This window comes from Homo sapiens, chromosome 3, assembly GCF_000001405.40.
Source record: "Homo sapiens chromosome 3, GRCh38.p14 Primary Assembly".
Lineage (NCBI taxonomy): Eukaryota > Metazoa > Chordata > Mammalia > Primates > Hominidae > Homo > Homo sapiens.
The window spans coordinates 192,335,278-192,358,314 of record NC_000003.12 but is presented as its reverse complement, the minus strand read 5'-3'; the positions used below and the strand labels follow the sequence as shown (position 1 = coordinate 192,358,314).

General features: G+C 35.7%; 1 protein-coding gene across 7 annotated transcripts in view; it reads left to right on the top strand.

The window, feature by feature from the left end:
* The window catches only part of FGF12 (fibroblast growth factor 12), a 588,152-nt gene that overhangs the window by 369,227 nt on the left and 195,888 nt on the right, over nt 1-23,037 (top strand). For all 7 annotated transcript variants that reach the window (NM_001377293.1, NM_001377292.1, NM_004113.6 and 4 more), the window contains one exon: nt 22,851-22,954. In NM_001377293.1, coding sequence (NP_001364222.1) covers nt 22,851-22,954 — 104 coding nt within the window. The remainder of the gene's footprint in view (nt 1-22,850; nt 22,955-23,037) is intronic.

Genomic DNA, 23,037 nt, shown 5'->3' with positions numbered 1-23,037 from the left:
ATACAAGTTTATCTGGATACCTACCACTAGCTTTAAAATTAATTAAAAATATCAATATAGTTTAACCTTCTTGTTGTGTTTTCCCTCATGGAATCTTACTTTTCATCATTACCAGATATAATAACTCCCTGGAATTTTGTATGTCTCATATATATCTAATTTAAGAAAAAATTTTAATTCATAATATTGTTTTGCATATTTTAAAATATTTTATAAGTTAGAACATTATCATAAATATATTTTATGTACTTTAATCCCCAATATTATGGTTGTGAGGTTTGTATATGGTAATATATTTATTTGCTTTATTTCTTTCATTTTTGTAAAATATCCCACTGTATGAATGTATACAAACATATTTATTCATTTTCCTTTTTGTGTATAATCATTGTTTCTATGTTAAGGCCATTACAAATAGTGCTGCTAAGATCTGTCTTATAGGTGTTGAAGATGCCTTCCTTAACAGTCCTTTAAAAATTACACTTCTCACCTTGGAACTCTATTTTCATATCCCACTTTCTGAAATATGTATTGTTGCTGTTTATTTATTTTTGATCTTCTTTCCCAGAAGAATGTATGTTCCATGAGTGAAAAGATTTTGATTGATGCCTCATGCATCATTAGAACCTAGAATGAATGGTCTGTAATACATAGTAAGCACTCAATACAAAGTGAATGATGAATGACTAGGTGCATGAACGTCTCCGTCAATATGTAGAAAAGTTGTTTGTTTTTTTTTTTGAGACGGAATCTCGCTCTGTTGCCCAGGCTGGAGTTCAGTGGCTGTAGGTCATTGGCTAAAATACTGTTACCCACATTTTTTTTTTTCTTTTTGAGATGGAGTCTCACTCTGTCACTAGGCTGGAGTATAGTGGTGTGATCTCGGCTCAGTACAAACTCTGACTCCCTGGTTCAAGTGATTCTCCTGCCTCAGCCTCCCAAGTTGCTGGGGTTACAGGCACATGCCACCACACCCAGCTAATTTTTGTATTTTTAGTAGAGATGGGGTTTCACCATGTTGGCCAGGATGGTCTCGATCTCCTGACCTGGTGATCCACCCGCCTCGGCCTCCCAAAGTGCTGGGATTACAGGCGTGAGTCACCGTGCCTGGCCCCACATATTTTTTAACTTAAAAAATCATTTAAGACTTCAGAAAAATTACAAAGTAATAAAAGTGAATTCCTTTATACTTTTTACCCAGCTTCTACTAATGGTACCATGTTACGTAACAACATACTGATCAACATCAGAAAATTGACACTAGTGAATATTATTTACAGAGTGCTATAGCTTTTATTAAAATGTTACCAGTTTTTCAACTAATGTGCTTTCTTCTGACACTTTCCCCACATATTTTAATGAAGAATATCAAATAAAAACAAATAATTTTACATATACTTTGTCAGAGTGGGGATTAGAAGTCAAAATATCGAAGAAGGATTTAAATTCTACTCATTTGTTTCATAGAAAAATTATAAACCTCTAAGTTGTTAAAATGTCTTTTCTTTCTCTACTTTGTGTGTGTAGGAGTAGAAGCAGTTGATTGTTTGAAAAAAGAATCTTGTTACTATGAGCATCTGTCAGAAATGTGTTGTTTGGTTCACTAGACATCATTAGGTCTAACCAACCTTACCATGGTATATTTCACAGAATTGATAAAGACACCTGTTCTTTTGTTCATGAAGAAAAGACTAATTATATGTAATTGAGTACAAAACACAAATGGATTTGTCGGCAGGAACAGATAAGAATCTCTGCAAATGTAATGATAAAAAGCACAAAACTGTGTTGGAACACTGGAACAAAAAAGACAATGGCAGTTTGGAGGGTATTAATAGGAATATTTTACATAAAATTAAAAAGCTAATTATTTTGTTTCCTGAGTTACCATAGGACAAGATACATTTGAAGAGGTCAAAAACGCTAGGGAGAAAACAACAAAGATATTATAACCAAAGGTATTGTTCTCTTTACCTCTGAACAATAAAATATTAAGAGCATTTGATATGGAATGGGCTGCCTGACAAGTTAGTACGGTGGAAAGACTGGAGATACTGAAGCAGATGCTGTCCTGGCACTTGAGGCAAAGGGAGAGGTTTACAAGAAAACCCCCTTGGTGTGGGAGGAGGAAGCAGAGTGGTGGTGGGAGGGGCATGGTTTCAGAACTCAGTGACTTTTAAGGTCTCATTTAGTCCTGATATTCTTTTAAAAATTATTTTGAATAGGTAAGATAAGTATGTGGCACCAAATTATAAAGGCACAAAAGGGCGTATAGTTGAGAAATAGCAAAACAGTCCCTGACAGCCAGCAGGTGGCTTGACACTCCCAAGAAGACTTGGTCTCCTTCTGTTGAATATAGACAATTTCACATTTGCAATTAGACAAAGCCACTGAGACATGATGGGTCAAGATAAAAGCAAGACCCTGTAATCATGTCTGAACACGACGAAAACAAAAATGTTTCCTAAATTACAAAATGAACAAATATGTCTCTGTCCTAGATTATGTGGGTGGCTGCTGCTTCTTTACCAAACACAGCTTTAACCTTGCTCTGTTCTTCTTGCCTTCTAGAAAAGAATTACTAAGATAGTAGCCATAGAATTACACCCACATCCTTAGAGCATCCAATCTGGGGCAGATTCACATATCTTTGAGCCCTCCTTAAAACCACTTGACACACACCCAAATCCTGTAAATCTTTTCTTACATCCTCTTACCAAGAAACCCCAGTTCTGCTCTGGTGTGTATTTTTCCTCCTTGCCGAGTGTTATTAAAACAAACTTTGTTCAACCTTGGGTGTGTTTATGATATTCATTGGAAGTCATTGACACAGTCAAAAGCAATTTTCATTCACACCCTCCATTGCCACCTGGGCACATTCTTGATATTTTCCTGATATAGTCTATGCACTTATCAACATGTACAATATCTATCCATCCATCCATCTGTCTTTATCTATCTACTATATTGATCTATCAGCACCTTCTTTTAACTTAAAATGTATATCTGCAAGATTTTTTCATATAATACATATTTAAATGGATAATTTAAATACTTAATTTCCTATTAGGTATTTTGCTAATACAAACAATCCTATAAAGAATATCCTCCTATATAAGTCATTTTTCATATATGCAAATGTATTTATAGGATAGTTACCTAGAAGTAGAATTGCTGGGTCAAGGGTATGTGCTTTCTTCATTCTGAAAGATGTCACCTAATTGCTCTCCATTATGCAAATTTACTCTAAAATTGTGTTTCCTTATCATCTAGTCAACAAAATGTGTTATCAAACTTTTGGTTTTAGTTGGTTGCAGTGGCTGACGCCTGTAATCCCAGCACTTTGGGAGGCAGAGGTGGGTGGATCACCTGACACTGGGAGCTCTAGACCAGCTATGGCCAGCATGGTGAAAACCCGTCTCTACTAAAAATACAAGAAAAATTAGCCAGGCACGGTGGTGCATGCCTGTAATTCCAGCTACTCGGAAGCCTGAGGCACGTGAATTGCTTGAACCAGGGAGGTGGAGGTTGCAGTGAGCAGAGATTGTGCCACTGTATTCCAGCCTGGGTGACACAGCGAGACTCTGTCTCGAAAACTAAAAACAAACAAACAAGCAAACAAAAAACTTGGTTCTTTGTTACCTTAAAATGTAAATTTTAATTTTTTTTAAATTATGAGTTAGGTTGAACACTTGTTTAAGGGTGATCTTTACTTCCTTTTCTATGAACTGTCTGTCTATATCTGATTCTATGAAATGTCTTTTCTTATTTTTAGGAAATCTGTATTTAAAAAATCAGTTCTTTGTTGTGATTTACCTTTTTTTTCTAATTCTGTTGCCTCCGATATTTTTTTTTGCCATGCTTTATTCTTTTTTGTTTATTTTAAATGTGCTTTTCTGCCGTCAGCTTTTCTTTCCAATTTAAAAAGCCTTTATTTATCCAAAATTATTTAAAAAGTCTCCTATGTTTTGTTTTTTGTAACGTATTCTTTCTTTTCTTATATTTGATATTTAGTTAATCTGGAATTTATTTCTTAAGATTCTCTCAGTCTAGACTTCTAATACTTTATGTTCTTATCAGTTATGAATACAAATACACTTTCATTAGATTTTATGAACGTACTAAATTCACTGTGAGTTTAGCAACAACAAACATTTCAAAATGTTCTGTGTCTGATTTTCAGAAAACCAATTGGAAATGTAAAAGTTTAGTCACTCGTTATGTTTTCTATACAATACCAAACATATGATGTTTTGATACCACCAGTCACAAGTATATAGACACAGCCAAAGTCAGCAGAAGCTTTTATTGCTAAACTATGAACAGAAGTATGATCCAAATGGTTAGCTGAGGAAAATTATGAAGGAAATCTATTTCTTATCACAAGGGCATGCAGGTACTACAAAAAATTAAACAGATGTTCTAAATTTGTTAGAAATTTGTTTTCATTGACTGTGTTTTAATTTTAAAGATAGTGCCTCCAAATAATATTTGTGGAAAATTTTAGCAAACACTAGTTATTTTCTTGAATGGCTTACCCCCTTACATAAAATCATAAGGGGATAACTCCTCCAGATTCTTCAGCCTTGGCTCCTCACTTTCTTCTTGATCTTATATATATTTTTGATCATAAGACTTCTGCTCCCAGCCGGGCACAGTGGCTCATGCCTGTAATCCCAGCACTCTGGGAGGCCGAGGCTGGCGGATCACAAGGTCAGGTGATCGAGACCATCCTGGCTAACACAGTGAAACCCCGTCTCTACTAAAAATATAAAAAATTAGGCGGGTGTGGTGGCGGGCGCCTGTAGTCCTGGCTACTCGGGAGGCTGAGGCAGGAGAATGGCTTGAATCCAGGAGGCAGAGGTTGCAGTGAGCTGGGATCGTGCCACTGCACTCCAGCCTGGGTGACAGAGCGAGACTCCATCTCAAAAAAAAAAAAAAAAAAAAAGACTTCTGCTCCCATGTATCTTTCTGGTCAGTAAAGCAAAACGAGTCATTTGAAATGATATTCTTTCTTATTTACTCTGTGACTTTTTATGGGCATATTTCTAGGCAGAATACATAGTATTTAAAAATCTTATTGGAGCTCCTTAACCAAGTGTATTCCTAGAAAGAGCTGAGGACTGAGGTTGTCTTTGATCTGTTTTTGGCTCTGTGTGATGACTAGTGCTTTGGCCGTGGGCAAGTCACATAAACATTCTCTGATTTATACAAATTCAGATAGTACAACATTAGAGGAGCCAAGAATCACTAAGATTTTGATAGTCTTTTATTTACTTCTGATATAGAAGTAAAGGTATGCTCAGAAAAACTGATTGACAGCCTCCATTTCCCTAAATACCCTTTGTTCTGAAAGATATGTTACCAGCAGGCAGGAAATCATCAGTTTGCAAATCCCTGTGTGATAGTCTCAAAGTGTGTTTAAAGATCTAGAGAGTTAAATACATAAATGCTAAAACCAGAATTTGGGTCCAAGTAATCTGACTTGAGATTCTTTGCCCTTGAATTAGTTATTTAACCCCTCTCTGTTAAATTTCCTCATTTGTTAAATGACAATAATAATAATATTTAGATCATAGGGCTGTTGTGTAGTTTAAATGGTTTGATTCCTTAAAAGTACCTAGAACACAGTAATTCTTAATAAATGTCATCTGCTGTCATTATTTTCATCAACAGGGATGAGAGACCCCTTGTTTTCAAGGAGCTCATACACAGTGACCATTTTAACAGAAATAGAATTCTTAGCAGTGGCAGCTATTATTATATGGAAGAATTTGAAGGTGTTTACACTGGTGGGTATTGAAGAATAAGTCAGTGATTCATAAAATGTCTAGTCCCTAGACCAGCAGCATCTATGTATCTGAGAACTTGTTAGAAATACACATTTTCCAGCATCACTTCAGACATGCTGAATCAGAGACTGTGAGGCTGGGGCCCAGCAATCTGTGTTTTGACAAGCCATCCAGATTATTCTGATGCACTGCAGCAAGTACAACTGGCATCTTTCCTCTGCCCCCAGGATTTGAAGTGCTCACATTTGCTAATGAAAGCAATCTCTGTTCTGGGACTGTGAAGCCTATTTCTATGGGGATCTGACTCCTAATATAATAGGGAAAGCAGAGGTCTGTAGACACTGAAATTCAAACTTTCTATCATCTTAAACAATGTGTGAAATCTGTTACATTTTGATTAATTACTTGAAGAGAGTCAAGGCTCAATTCTGGACAGATATATGATCAAATATAAGTTTGGAGGATTACAAAAAAAAAAGAAAAAAATATGAAAAATATGTAGTGATATAGGTAAGCCTGTATCACAGATTTGTATGTCTTGGAGCTTTTACATATGCAAATTTATTTTGCTTGCGATGTCTTTGCCAATCTTATCCAGGAGGCAAGCCACTCTCACCCTTCAAAACCCTCCTCAACTCTTGTTTCTTTTGTCCATGTGAGGTCTTCTTTAGCCATCTTGTCTCAACTGTCACCCCCATACAGAACCCCACGCTCACTCACTTCACTCTGCTGTATTTGAGGGTTATGCATTTGTTTACAGCTGCGCAAGTCACATTATATACTGCAATTCCTTATCTGCTTTTGTGTTTTCCCTATTAGAGTATGACTTCCTTATTTGCCCTTCTGCTTAGCCAAGCAATGGAGATTTTCCAAAATCCAAAGAGCTACAAATGTGTTTCATTTAGCTGGCATGCTTGGGAAGGGGGAATGATTGTATGTAAGCAACAGATGCATCTACTTTTTTCCCCACATTTTCTTCCTACCTGCCTAGGGCCTGAAGACTTTTCAGTTTGAGATACCTGTGGCTTTCACTCAATGTTTGTTAAATCAAAATAACAGAACAGAACTTTAAACGAACAGTACAAACCCCTTAAATATCACCGATTGTAAGACAAAGTAGCTTGGGCTGTGAGTCAGACAGCCTGGTTTCCAGTCCAGGTTCTTTCTCTAAATAGCTGAGTGAACTTATTTAAGTCCCACAAACTTTCTGTTCCTTGGTTTACTTCCCCCACCCCTCATTTCTCCTCTGAGGAATGAATCCTTTGTTTTCTACTCTGTAAAATGAAGCGTTTAGAAAAGATAATATCCAGTATCTCTGATAGATCTGAAATTTTGCAAGCCTACAAGATGACAATGATTTTTGTTTTCACCTTTGAAAAATGGGAAACTTTTTATTTTAAACACATTACAAAAGAAGGCAAAATTGTAAGAGCAAATAGTACAATAGCTTTTGCATTGAATTGGAACACAGTAGTGAATTCACTGCTACTTTCAGTGTATACATATACAGATTTCCAGCAATTCTCAATACCCCTATTGCCACTCCCTAGTCCAAGCTACTATCCTCTTTGTATGGACTCTTGCAATAACTCTCTAACTGGTCTCTTTACTTAAAGCTTCCCCGCATCAGCCTATTTTCCACACAGCAGCCAGAGTGACCCAGTTAAAAGATAAAACGAAATAAACTCACTTCTTTGCTCAATCCCTTTCATCACATATCATTCGGGGTAAAAGCCAATGACCTTTTTCCTATGACCAATAACGTTTTATATAATCTCACCCGTTGTCTCCTTCATCCCTCCTCACATATTATCTCTCCTCTTTCTTTCCACTGGCCATCTTGCTGTTCCTCAAACACACCAACCATGTTCTTGCCTGAAGGCATTGGGACCAGCTATCCCCCTCTTTCTGGAATGTCCTTCCAAATATCTAAATAGCTCAATCCCTCATAATCTTCATACTCCACTCAAAAGGGAAGCCTTTTCTCAAAAAGATCTTTTCTAGTTAATCTATATACATCTCAGTCCCTATCCTCAATATTTCAGTCTCCTTTGCCTACTTGAATTTTGTTTTCATCTTTAGAACCCTTACCACTATCTAATATACCTACTTGTTTTATTATGTCTTCTTACTACTAAAATATTACTTATATATACCATACTTTTTTTATTCTATCCTATACTTGCTTATGTTATTTCTTTCACTAATTATGCCATCCTCTAAAAGCCTTTTGTCTTTGAAGCCTGTTTCTGATTTAACTGTACATTCTACTTTTTCTCTGAACAAACTGTACATCTCTTATGATTTTATGCTGTTTCATCTGTATGTATTTATTGTGTATATGACTGGCTGACTTCTTTTTGGTTATGAACTACTTAAGGGCATTGACAATACCTGCTTTATCTCTGTGTTGGCCTGTAATAAATTCTTAATAATGAGTAACGCCTTGATAATGGATATGGATAAGTTCATTGATAGTAGCAATAGTATAATCATTATACCATTGAAACCAAAAGATTTAATTAGAATATAAGCTTCATGGGGGCAATGAGCTTTATCTGCATTTTGTACTGCTATGTCTCCAGCACCTAAAAGAATACCTGGCACATATTAGGTATTCAGTATTTGTTGAATAAATGAATGAAAGTGAATTCACAGAACAACCCCATCAAAAATGAATATGACTTTGCGTGACAATGCCCAGCTTGAAAAATTAATGCTAATGGGACCATGCTTGCATTTTGTCTTGAGAATGACAGATGATTTAAGAGAATTCAAGGGATGAGTAAGGAAATTATTTCCATTTTGAAAATAGGAAGAAAATTGAGTATGCTTAGTCTGGAAAAGTGAATTCTATAGCAATAATAGTAAAAGAAGACACTTTCGCAGTGTTACATATATTCTCAAAGTGTTACATGAATATATATATTCATGTTGACAATTATAGAGACATCATTTTCTTAAAATAAGCAAATGGTATATTTGCCCATAAGAGAGAGAGTCATTGCTTTTATTATTCATCTAAGGGCAGCAGTATAAATTTAAACATATGTTGCAGGAAAAAGAAAATACACACTCAGGTGTTTTAAGAATAAGAAACTAAAAAGAGAGGGTTTCTTGAAGTAGTGGAAAAGGGTATTAAAATTTTGATGAGTGAGAATTAGAGATCACTTTAAAATTCCTGAAATTCATTACCTTACTTTGAGGCTCTGAAGTGAGAGTTGATTTGCTCTAAGTACAGTAAGTAGAATTCATTTCTACTATATCCATATCCTGTGCTCCGTCTTCAACATAAGTTACTGATTGCAAGGTTGTATAGATTTGTCCATATTCTTAATGAATTGCAGTGTAGTTTCTTATATGTCTCTGGTTTGATTAAGCACTGTTTTTAGCCACCAGCTAAATAAGGTATAAATTATAAATGTATACTCATATGGATTAGCATTTTCTAGGGCATACTACCATGAAGCATAAAGAAGAACTACATATTTGGAATGAAGGATTTGGAAAATAAAATGGTCACCTACGTGTCAAGCATTATTTCTTAATCTATGACTTGGGGACATATCAGATAATAGTAACTGTTTACTGAACACCTTCTAAATGTTCAGTACAGCTATGAAAATTTTCAAAATTGTACTCAGTTAAGTCTTGTGATAACCCTATAAAAGGTACTGTAATCATTTCTATTTTGAAGATGAGTAAATTGAGGCACAGGAAGGTTAAATAATTAGTCCATGGCCTTAAAGATATTAAATAATAGACCCAGGATTTGAATTCAGCAAGTTTAGTTCCAATGTTAATACCTTCACCCAGTTTACACTGTATCTCGAATTTATCTTTCCTGGTTAATATTTCCCAGTGTATAATAAACAATCTCTTAAATCATACCTCTGCATTCTTCTGACAACACTTTCAAAAGGCATTAAGAAGGCAACGTGGTTTAGTTCTAAAATATTATGGAGGTTTACTTTAGACAGGCTAAACAGTGAACTTGCAAGGATTTTTCTTCAATGTGTTTGACGTATTTAAAATATATATTAAAACATTTTTTAGAGATAATAAACCATTATACAATAATTTTAAAGATTTTAAATAACCTGGTTGCCTATTTCATATATCTGATTTGAGAAGTTTGAGGTGTGTAGGATGTGTGTGTCTTTATGTGGATATATATTTTCATGTATTATTCAGCAGCCTAGATAGAGTGGTACTGAACAGGCATCCAGCCAAGATCTAGCGAGGTTGCACTTAGTACATCTGCTTCCCTTGACATTGAGACCGAATCTGGAACACATACCTATGTGAGACTATGTATGCACAGCATTATTAAGCCCACTCCACAGTATTACAGTTGAATTTTTACAAATATCCTAAAGAGAACTCCTTGCTCCTTCCTACTTAGGTACGAGCAGAAAACATCACTTTTATTGTTTCTATAGTATATACCAGGGATCATTTCCCATACTTGAGGAAGCAGGATAGTGTTATAAATAGTCCATTTGATTTTAGGGACAGACAATCATGGATATTAATATGAGTATCTCCACTTGCCAGCTGGATAAACTTGGGCAATTAGTTTAACACTTTGAAACCAGAGTTCCTCATCCGCAAAATGGGAATAATATGTAGGAGATTTAAGTTAATAATATCAAAATGTACTCTTATGGAAGGAAGTGCCTTGGAAAGTCTCAACAGGGGAAATCAATGCTGACTGAAGAGTGATCAAGAGCCATTTCAGAAAAAATGAAGGACTTGAGCAGAGCTTTGACAAATTGGGTAAGAAGCCATTTTTGAACCACATCTGTAGTTTCAGCACTCTTTTAGGCCTTAGACCAACCTTCTTTTCTTTGGAAGAATTGATCGAAGTCTAATTTAGATAAGATTAACATCTAGTGCACTTGGAGTTTCCCTCTGAAGGGGTTGGAATATACAGTTACATATGGTCTCTTCCCAGTCTTTGACACTGATGATCTGGGCAGAAAAGCCCTACTGAGACGTAAAGGAAGACAGCAGCCGCTCCTCATAGATCCAGGTTCTCAACAATGGCTCCAAAATCTTTGTTTTTGAATCAGGAAGTCTGCAGGAGGACCACACTTTGAGAACCAAGCACACAGCACTTCTCAAAACTTTAACTGCATTGTAATTGTGTTAAAATGCAAATTTTGATTCAATAATTCTTGGATACAGCCTGAGATTCTGCCTTTCCAACAAGCTCCAGATGATGGTGATGCTGTTCACACTTTGAGCAGCAAGGTTTGGTTCATTGACTGGTAAGATTTGGGAAGAATCAGTATCGCATGTGAGCTTGCTAGAACTATCCCAGACTATTGAATATTAAATTGTTTTCAACAATGAAGCATACTGGAATAATCTGGGGAGTTAAAAAGTACTTGTCTTCAATTCCAGGCAATTTTATTTAATTATTATGAGTGTAGTCTGGACATCAGAATTTTCAAACTTTTCAGAAGGTTTTAATATGCAGCAAAGTCTGTGAACCATTAAGCTAAATTACCTCTGGAGAGTTGGTTTTTTTCTTCAATTTTTAAAGTTTGCATTCCAAATTTGTATTATTATAACTTTGAGTCAAAGTTATACAATAAGATATTGATTTTAAAGTACGGTGCAAATCATCGCTGTTTTTATGGAATGTTTCATGCTATTTTATTATAAAAGGAGGCCCTCAAGTGGGAAATGACAAATCAATGGCTGAAGTACCCCTTCCTGTGTTCACTGCAGACATCACTAAATTCTCACAACATTCATTGTTGCCTGGCTTCAAATGTCTCCTTAAGACATTGTTTCAGGCAGCTACCACAAAATGATTGAGTTTTCACATATGCCTGCCATATGCATGCTTTATTTTCATTAATACCAACATATTGAAGGCCAACTGCGTTCTAGTTACTGGATTACAAAAATGAATCTGATACAATTCCTGCCTTCTAGCTTTTCCCAGAGCATAAAAGGTTTTACATTTTAATGTAAAACAAAAGGTGTCACTGGTACTACCAAGTGATTAGAAGAATCACCAGATTTCAGAGATCTAACAGATCCTCAAAAGCCATAGTGATCAACAAGTTTGGTTTTAACCCAATTCTTGAAGAATGGGAACAAAATAAATAAATTAAGATTAGGACAGTTGTATTTCAGGTAAGGAGGCACAAAATCAGGAAGTGGAGAAAGCTCCCACCATGTAAGGGAAAAATTAACCCACTAGCTTGCATGAAGCAAAGAGATTATTTGGAAGTATCATGGGGCCATATTTTAGAGTGTCTTAACTGACACTTAAGGGAGTGTAAGCTTTATGTTGTAGGAAATGGGGAACCAATGAAAGTTATTGAGCAATGAGTAAAATGCAATACTTTAGAAAAATTTTCTAACTGGAGTTTATAGTAGACATGGATTGAATGAGAGATTTTGAAGTAGAGAATAGTAAGGACAAAATAATCATTTTATTTTTCAAGTCCTTTTTTATCCCTAATTTCTAAAAAAAAAAAATCTTTCCACATTATGTTTATTTCTATAGATCCACTTAATATTTTTGGAATTAGGCAGTCATATTTTCTTATTTAGGTATTAATGATAACAACGTGCAAAGCTTTGAGCATATCTAAATCAACTCAAATAAGTGTGCTTGTGTTGCCTGTGTGTAATTTTATCTAAGAAAAACTAAAGATTTTTTACCTTTTGAGCAGGATGGTTCTACTTGGCTAAAACATTCCTTGTAAGGTTTTCACATTTTCTTATTATAGTCTGTTTTTCCTACTTTCTTCACAACTACTTGAATTGTTATCATTAGAATTTTATGTTATATCTTTTTTTTTTTTTTTTTTGAGACGGAGTCTCGCTCTGTCGCCCAGGCTGGAGTGCAGTGGCGCGATCTCGGCTCACTGCAAGCTCCGCCTCCCGGGTTCACGCCATTCCCCTGCCTCAGCCTCCCGAGTAGCTGGGACTACAGGCGCCCGCTACCACGCCCGGCTAATTTTTTGTATTTTTAGTAGAGACGGGGTTTCACCGTGTTAGCCAGGATGGTCTCGATCTCCTGACCTCGTGATCCGCCCGCCTCGGCCTCCCAAAGTGCTGGGATTACAGGCGTGAGCCACCGCGCCCGGCCTATGTTATATCTTAAGAGCAACAATATTTTACAGCTTTGTAGCCACCAGAATCTAGGTTCACAGCTTAGCTTTTTCACTAGCTGACTTTATAACCTTGGGAAAACAGTATCTTTGAGTATCAGTTTCCTGGTCTGTAAAGATGGATACATATTACACATGTGGTTACTTTTATCTATTTTAGACTTTAACTACTATGATGGCAGGTACCATCTCTGTCCTTTCTACCACTGTATTGCAAGTGCCTGGCACAATGTCTGGAATATATGTGATGAATTAATGAATAAACCTAGTAGGCCATAGTATTGATTTTGGCAACATAGTTTTTGATGAAAGGTTTATAGAGGATGCAAATCTAAAAGCTTCAAAACATGCAAAGATTTCTTGGAAGATGTTTCTGCCCATTGATCTTATGGACCGTCACCTGTGCTGTTCACTGAATTCTTCAGACCAGACGGGCTCCAAGACAAGTCTGTGTAAGACAAATGGCTCCAGAGAATGAGTAATGACAGGCATTTGCTTTCATTATCAATAGTGATATGCCTCATTTTTCATCTTAATGAAAAAATAATCACGTTTAATTGACTTGTTAATTATGCAAATTTTTGAACATTTTTGAACTATCATAGGAAAGGTTATATGATATTATCAGGATTAAAAGTCAATGACAGGACTTTTACCAGAGCTAAGGCAAATATTTCTACTACCTTATCAAATAAAGAGATCACAATGCTGCTCATTTTTGTTATGCTGAAAACCCACAGTGTATGCTGTCAGCCAATGCTTAGAAGAAAAATTTTAGTCTCTGAAGTCCCAAACCACTAGTCAGCTCTGTAAGTCGATAAATTCAGTGAGAAAATAAATCAGTCAGTTGGACTATTTGGCCAATTGCTTATAAAATAGGACATCATACTTAAAGCAGTGAACCAATATAACTTAAAGTATGTTGATGTTTACATTCTTAACAGTGTTTTATTTTAACCACATAGTTGTTTTGCTTATGGGAACTTCAATAATAGAAGATGGAATACATGCTTTTTTTTTTCTCCCATAACATTTTAAAAAATTTAAGTTGAACTATGGAATAATGACCACCCAGCCATGTTCCTCCTACTATGAAAACTCCAGATGTGGAGATATGAAAACAACAATGAGAACAAAAACACTGACAACACTGATAGTGATGCTTTGTATCCTTTATGGTTTAAAAAGTGGCTTGTTTTTATTATCTCATTGATCTTCATAACAATCCAGTGAAGCATTCAGAGCCAAGAAATACTCAAAGTGGTTAACTCATTTATGCCTAGTGTTCCATTATTGGAACACTACGCATGTGGGAGTTATTTATATCCTACTGCTCAAAGTCATCGCCAAGGTCTGATTGCAGAAATTCAAAAAATTGCAACCTCATTAAATTACTTGGAGTCACCAAGACCACTTATTTCCTTGACTTAAAAGCTAAAAGAATACGGCAAGTTACATCTTTCCTTTAATGTCTGTAAGAAATGCTGTTTTAGAGGGTTAAATTCAGTAACAACAATTGTTTAGGCTTTATTTTGAAATGCAATCTGGATGCAAAACAACAACAAAAACATGTTATATTCTATGAATCCCTAGTTTTCAGGGAAACTCAGACAAACATATAAATATTAATAAGCACTGTGATAAGTGCTATGTATGGAATGCTGTGGAATTAGGGTAAGGGAATGAATAATTAATTTGCCTGGGTGAACATTCCATTGTACCATAATTTATATAACCACTTTTGTATTGGAAGATTTAAGAGCTCACTCCTTTGCTGTATATTCAATAATAGCATTTTCCTGTTGAGAATGGGGAGGGTGAATAATTGACTTAAGTAAATTATAAATAACAGAAGTAAATATTAATTTCATAACTGAGGAAAAACCAATTGAGTGGCCTGCAAATATTATGAATATTATAATTATAGATATTATTGTGAGAGACTATAGGATTTATTGTAGGAGAAAATAACCTGGTACTAACTTAACTTTTTATTTAAGATTTTGTAGGATATGATCTTATTCACACTCTAATAAAATATCTTGATTGAGAACATTTTGAGATGTGGGAAATGATATTGAATTTTCAAGGAAATCTAACATTGAAAATGCACAGATTATAAACCCAAATATCTCCATTCTCTCTCAGTATGTTCCACATGGGTTTTTAATGGGTCACAGGATGAATCTTTTTTATTGGCCATTTGACAAAATAGATCTAGAATTTCTAAATACAACTGTACTCTTTTATACCTTTCTTCGTTACAAGCAATGAGTCTGTCCTTAGAAGTTACTTGGAAAGATACTGGATTTACATGTTCCAAAGACAATTTGTAATGAGCTTTTTTTTCTCCTTCCTTCCCTCCCTTCTTCCTCCCTCTCTCCCTCTCTCCCTCTCTTCCTCTTCTTCTCTTTCTTTGAAACTTTCTTGGTTGTCACATTGTTTTCCTATGTGTTTTGGATTGACTGTTACCTTTTTCTTACTGGAATAATATGGTGTGTACAGGTAGAAATTAAGCTGAGTAAAACATAGCACTTTTAGAAAGTACATTTTTTGGTGCAGTATCATTGGACAGGATGTTTATTTTTTATTTTATTTTGTTGAGACAGAGGCATGCCCTGCCCCGTTACCCAGGCAGGAGTGGAGTGGTGCAATCATGGCTTAACTGCAGCCTTGAATTCCTGGGTGCAGGCTATCCTCCGACCTCAGCCTCCCAAGTAGCTGGGACCACAGGCACACACACATACCTGACTAAATTATTTTTGTTTTTATTTTTACAGAGATGGAGTCTCCCTGTGTTTCCCAGGCTAGTCGCAAACTCCTGGGCTCAAGTGATTCTCCTGCCTTAGCCTCCCAAAGTGCTGAGATTACAGGCATGAGCCACCACGCCTTGCTGACAAGATGTTTAATATCTCAATTGTAACAGATTCCCCAAACTCTTTCCTTCCTCTTAATTCCCTCCAACCTTGCATCACTCTACACACACACATACTCCTACCCTTACCAGGCCTATGCATCCCATGATTCTGCCATTTCAGACTTTGTACCATGTAGGTTTTTTGGCTTTCCTTTAGTCTATGTGTAATACATATTATCTTCCATTTTTTTCTTACATGCTTAATTATAAAAATATGACTGAGAAAAGTTATGAATAAACATGTGTAAGGAGAAACTACTCCTAATTCATTTATTTATTCAGCAGATATTGAATAACAGCTTCTAAAACCAAGATATCATGCTAGGCATTGGGGATCATAATAAAAGTTTCTGGTACCTTCAACTTGCCCTTAAAGTAGTGGAAACCTCGGAAAGATTCACAGATAAAAGTCTTTTCACTAGAGACCACAACTGTTATGTTCGTCACTCTTTTTTTAGCCTAGGCATGGTATTTGGCATACAGTAAGTCCTAACAAATATTTATGGTAAGAATAAATGACTTCTAAGTCAGGTTTTTACAAGTGCTGTATGTTAACTCCAAATGTTAGGATGGTGCTTTACATTTTCTCAATTTTTTTCACTTTGTACCCCTCAAAGAAGTTAGGACTTTTATATACTGTTCAATGAAGCTATTTTAAGTAGTCAAATACTGAGTTTATAATAAAATGACATTTCGCATATCAAAATGCCTACCTAGCAGGATGCCTGAAAAAATAGACAGTCAATGAATATTATCTATTTAGTTTTTCTTTTCTCATTTGTTACTTTCTCTCATCTTCTCCTTCCACTTAAATTTCAATATGAGAATGATTTAGGTTTTGTAGGTCCTAAAGCTTATCTTATGTGGGGTTCTCCCTCGAAAAAATAAATATAATGAAATGAAAATTAGATGCAAAATTGAGTATTTAGACTGAGAAAATATACCACAACAGTTTAAATTTTGAAAAGCTGAGAACTATCAAAGATGATACAACTCAGGAAAATAATACAACATTTTAATTAATTGCCTGATAGCAGCAAGTCTATAAATTTCCTTCCCATTATTATGGATATATAATTTTTGAATGTCTTTCCATATGACAACAATTTTATTATACATTTCTTGTAGAGAGAAATATAATTCAGTCTTTCCTGTAGCATGATTAATCAAAGTGATCCTTTAATATTTTATAACTTGGAAGTGTTTATTTTAGGTTAACAGCTCATAATTATCTGATGATTAGTGATGTTGAGTATATTTTCATATACCTGTTGGCCATTTGTTTGTTGTTCTTGAGAAATGTCTGTTCAAGCCCTGTGTCCATTTTTTAATTGGCTTATTTGTTTTGTTTTTCCTTTTGAGTCATAGGAGTTTCTTATGTATTCTGGATATTGAACCCCCACCAGATATACAATTTGCAAATATTTTCTCCCATTCCATAAGTTGCCTTTTCATTCTGTTGATTGTTTCCTTTGCTCTGCAGAAGCTTTTTAGTTTAATGTAATCCCACTTGTCTAGTTTTTGCTTTCATTTGCCTGTGCTTTTCGTTATCCAAGAAATAAATCATTGCTAAGGCCAATGTTGACTTTTTCCCCTATGTTTTTTTCCTATGGGTTTTACAGTTTTAGGTCTCACATTTAATTATTTAATCCATTTTGAATGAATTTTATGTATGGTATAACATAAGGGCCCAATTTCATTCTTTCATGTGTGAATACCCAGTTTTTTCAGCATCATTTGTTGAAGAGACTATACTTTCTCTTCATTACCTTTTCCATTACCTTTTTTCTGTGAAGTTTTATGAATGAGCTTGGTTTATGGAAGCCAAGAGTACCAGCTCCATTATTTCATTTTTCAAAATACAAGAGTCAACTTTACAAAAAGATGTAGAACAAGATACTCCTTTTGGAAAGGACAAGTTTAAGAAGATCTTTGAATGTCAGATTAAATACTTGGACTCTATTTGGCATATAATTGTAGTATTATTTAGTCTGCAAATGTTTACTGGGATTGCTAATATACACAGAATATATACTACCCTGCATATTCTCCCTCTTGTTTTCTCTGTCTCTATCTGTCTCCTCCCTTCCTTGTATTATACAAGTGTAGTTTTGATGTGAGTTTTGTTTTGGAGAGCTTACAATCTGGTTGTGGTTGGCAGAGGAAACAGATTTTTTAGAAGAATAAAACTATAAATTGTGATAAATATAGTCTGGATCCAGGAATAGGGCAGCTAAGAAGTGAAAGAAAGCACTTGGCATTTGGTGTGTCATTTCACGCATGTCAGGGATTTCAGTGTGAAGATGTAGGGAGAGTGACATTCCAAGCAGAGGGAGCTAAGTTAGCAAAAAGATGGAGTTTAGAAGGTAGGAGGAGGAAGATCAAATTACTAGAAGCACTCAGTATTGGAGTGAAAGTGCCATGTAGCACAAATGTATGTTGTAGATTAACTTTGAGTATCAGGCTGAGATGCTTTAAGTTTCTAATTTCATTTTTATCTTAAAAAGAACTTTCATTCTAACAAGAAAACCTACATTCCTGGAAATAACGTGTTTTTGTCATAACCCATATAATAACATTTATTTAATAAAGCTGTGTACATGTACCTGGGCTAGACATTACAGCAACTACCCTCAAGAGTCTTGCATTGTAGGGATGGAGACAGAGATATAAACAAAGAACTCTAAAACCATGTTCTAAATATCATTACCGAAATATACACAAGAAATAAGCCATCTGGAAAAGGGAAGTATTATTTCTGAAGGGTTTTGGGCAAGATTCATGGGGGAGTTCAACAAGGTAGGCCTTAAATGATGAAAAGAGTTGGCCAAATTTAGAAGTGGGAAGATAAGCTTTCCAAAAAGAGATAGAGGACAAAAGAGGACAAACTCCAGCCTAGTTAAAGATCGAGGGGGAACTTAGGAAATGGCAAAAAGCTCTGTGAAGCCGGTTACAGCAGATGGAAAGGGTGACAGGTGATAAGCTGGAAATGTGGGTTGGAGCCAGGTTGTAAAGGACATTGGAGACAGGGAGGAATCACTGCAGGTTGTAAGCAGGAAAATGGCTTAAGAGGATGCAAGGGACTTAAAGAGTGGGTGGAGTCAAGCAGCCCAGTTACTATGAGTTAGGACAGTGGCTTTGAGGAGTAGTGAAAGGAGTAGCAAAGGGCTCCTGTGAGCTGGAGCCACAGTATGCTACTCTGAAGATAATTAATAGATAACAGTAAGTCATTTGCCACCTTTTGGGACTTTTAGGAGGCAGATGAGGACCTTTCCAGAGAAACTATGTTTAGCTTTTACCAATAAAGTCTCGTTTCAAATCGTTTACTGATTTTTAAAAATGGGCTTAGTAAGTCTCACAAAGCAAACCAGCTAAAGGCCATTATCATGTTGTGGTTCATATAAAACTTTCAAACAGGTTTCTTGTTTTTGTCCCTGCCTAGCATTATCAGTTTTCTCTCATTCCATGTAGGAAAAACTTTATAGTTGCTTTTCCTTCTATGGTCAGCTACATAAACCAGTGTTCTTAGCATTTATCCTGGGAAGTCTTTTCTCCTTCTCACAGTAATTATCAGTGAACTTAATCGTTTTCCAGTATCTGCTTTTATTTAAAATGAAGTACCTTGCATCTAGTTCATATCTTGCATATTAATTCTGCTTTCATTAGCATCTCTATCAGTTAGGATTAGAGTTGGCTCTGCATCGCACAGACTAAGAGAACAAGGACTTATTTTCTCACGTAAAAGCCAGACCTGGGTAATTGAATGTTGGACTTGTGCCACTGCTCCACAAAGCTCTCAGGGACCCAGCTCCTTCCAGCTCACCTGCCAACACCCGCTGGGGAGTAGTCCTTGTTTTTTTGGTTTGAGATGATCCAGCTACCATATCCCCATTCAAACAGCAATAGGCAAAGGTTGAGAAGGGGCACAAAGGACACCTTTATGCTGTCTTTAAGGAAGGATTCCTCAAGCTTATAATGATGTGATGACTTACATCTCATTGGCCAGTAGTGGGTCCATAGGACCTACATCTGGTTGCAGGATATGTTAGAAGGTGTAGCTGAATAATCTATTTATTTGCAAGAAGGCAAAAATGGATATTAGAGGAAATTAAAAGAACAAAAAGGGGAGGCCGAGACAGGTGGATCACAAGGTCAGGAGTTCGAGACCAGCCTGGCCAACACAGTGAAACCCCGTCTCTACTAAAAATACAAAAATTAGCTGGGTTGTGGTGGCAGGCGCCTATAATAGCAGCTACTCTGGAGGCTGAGGCAGGAGAATTGCTTGCACTCCAGCTGGATGACAGAGCTAGACTCTGTCAAAAAAGAAAAATAAAGAACAAAAAGATGAAATATGATGTTTTGAACAGGTAACCACATTAGGGAGCCTGAAAGCCTTTGTTTAGATGCATTTTCCCCTGGGTTAACTCTAAATCTTTTTGTACTTCTATAAATTAAGGTAATCATTCTGTCCTAAATTCTTCATAGCATTTATGGTTGAGGATCAAATACAATTAATGAATGTATCAGCACTTTGAAAATTAATCTTGCACAAATATAAGGTATTAGATTTTAAAGCTTTAAAGCAATCTGCTGAATATAAACTAAAAAATATTACTGAGGTAATATGTCAGTTTTTACAATAGTCTTATGGTAACTTTATCTGACAAACAGAAGAATTAGGTATTCATGACAAATAGCTCTTAGAGAGGATACATCTCTGTGAATCACTTTCAGAAACATGACAATGCATTTGGTTCTATCAACTCTGTGCAATAAGCATTATCATGTCCATTTTACAGATAGGAAAACTAAGGCAGAGAAGTTAAATGAATAGCTCAAAGCCAAGTGACTGAGTGGAGGGTTTAGAAACTATGTGTCTGCAAATCTCATAATCTGTGTTGTTGCTCTAGTTTTCATATGTCACACGTCTTGTTGCCTATTTGGTAAAGTCCAGATATCTAAGATTAGAGTGACAGACTCGGTTATTTATCCTTATTTTATTTACATGCTGTTCTTTCTCATTTCCCCCCAATATAAATCAAATCCACCAATCTGCCAGTCCCTTTCTGCATACACACATTACTCTGCAAAACCACCTAACTTCCACCTCACTAAAATGTTTTCTGTTCTTGGCTTTCTCAACTTCCGCTTCTTTAGGTGTCAACTCAGGTTCCATTTTCTGTGTAAGGCATTCCATGAATACTTCAGGCCACACAGAGCTTCCATTTTCCTGAACTTCTGTAACATAGGGAATATATATATAGAATGCATATATTACATTTAATTATAGAAGTAAATTATACACTGTATCATATTATTCCATATGTCTTAGCTTTTTCTCCCCAACTAGACTTTGTCTAGTTCTTGTATTTCTTAAGTTGTTTCAGTAACACAAGGACACTGGTAAGAATATAGCAAGAAATAAAACCAGTTCAAATCTAAATTGAGCCAACAATTAATCTATAAGAAACTACTTACAGTTTCTTATCTAGTCTCAGTTTTCGTAAAAAATGTGGAAATGGATTCAAAGAGGCAAAAGGACTGATCCGATGTCGACAGCTAAGAATGGAATCCTGTTCTACTAAACTTGTGGTCTAAGACTTGATCCTCTACAACTGTCAATTGAACATTTGACTGAAAGCCAAATACTGTGAGTGTGTGTGTCTGCATGTGTGTGTGTTTAGCTTACTATTGTAGGTTGAGAGAAGCCGAGAAAAATAGAGGCATCCCTAAATAATGGTAGCCCTTGGGTTAATTTATGTGTATCTTGTATTAAAAACTAAGAAGACGAGAACTGATAGGAATTTTATCAACAGAAAAAGTGGATAAGAACTTCTAATTAAGCCAGGATACTGAAATGAACTGCAGAGATATTCTCTTATGCATACAGCCGTGAGATACTTAATTCATCTCCATGTTGCCATCTATAGAGCCTAACTATATGATTGCTTTTCTTCCATATGCAATGTGAATTGTTTCAGGGTGGGGGCAGTGTTTTCTGTTTATGCTCATTTCGTGATCTCAAAAGTAACTGAAATAATCCCAAGGACAGAAAAATATTGTTGGAAGAAAAATAGAAGGTTCTCTTAGGTATCTTTTTTTCTGATCTACGAATTCCTTCTCTAAGTGGACATATAGACTATTGAGTATTTTGAGTGATGAGCAACTCGAATATGTAAAGACTGCAAGCATGTTTCCATTTCATCTTAGGATGTTGAATTACTTTTGTCAAATTAATTCTTAATGGTTTTGAGTATATGTGTGTGTGTGTGCATATATATATGTGTATATATATTTGTATATATATAGTATGTATATATGTGTGTATATGTGTGTGTGTGTGTGTGTGTGTGTGTGTATTTCCCACCTGGATATAAAATATATCCATTACAGCTTAAGCTATCTATCAATCATCTGTCCATCTGTTTATCTCTGTTTATTTACATGTAAAAAATTGAGATATCAAGAAAAAAGTTTTGTCTGAATGTTATCACCAATAAGTCAGTAATTTTTGCATTCTTCTTCTGTGTTCAATATAATGTTTGGAACAACAAGGAAAATACTAAAAACAAGAAGCTTTGGCCTGTTTTAAAGATAGTATTTTGTTATTTCTTGTGACTACAGATAGGTTTTCTCCTGTTGAGAATTTTTCGGTCCATATTATTTGTTTGTTAGAAAAAATTATCTTATATTACACTGTTTGAGGATCATTTTAAGGATCAGGGATCCTGAAATCTCAGATCCAGCTGGGCCTTTAGAGACCTTCTAATCCAACCCCTTTAGTACAGAGTTTATGTAATTTACCTGAAGTTACATAGGTAATTAATGCTGGTGCAGGGTCAAGAAGTCAATTTCTCTCGTTTTTAGACCTCTCTTTATTTCTCTCTCCATTTTTCTACCAAGTTCAATTAATAGGTTTTAATTCTCAAAAGAATGATTATAAGAAGGATTATTTATTCAAAAGGTCACTGATCCTTTCCGCCCTTCTTTTTCTCCCCCCAGCTCTCTTCAATCTAATTCCCGTGGGCCTGCGTGTAGTGGCCATCCAAGGAGTGAAGGCTAGCCTCTATGTGGCCATGAATGGTGAAGGCTATCTCTACAGTTCAGTAAGTACATTGTAGTGTGTATTTGTGTGTATGTGTGTGAACTACCACTGAGAGGTAATGGAGTAACCATCATGTTAGGCAAG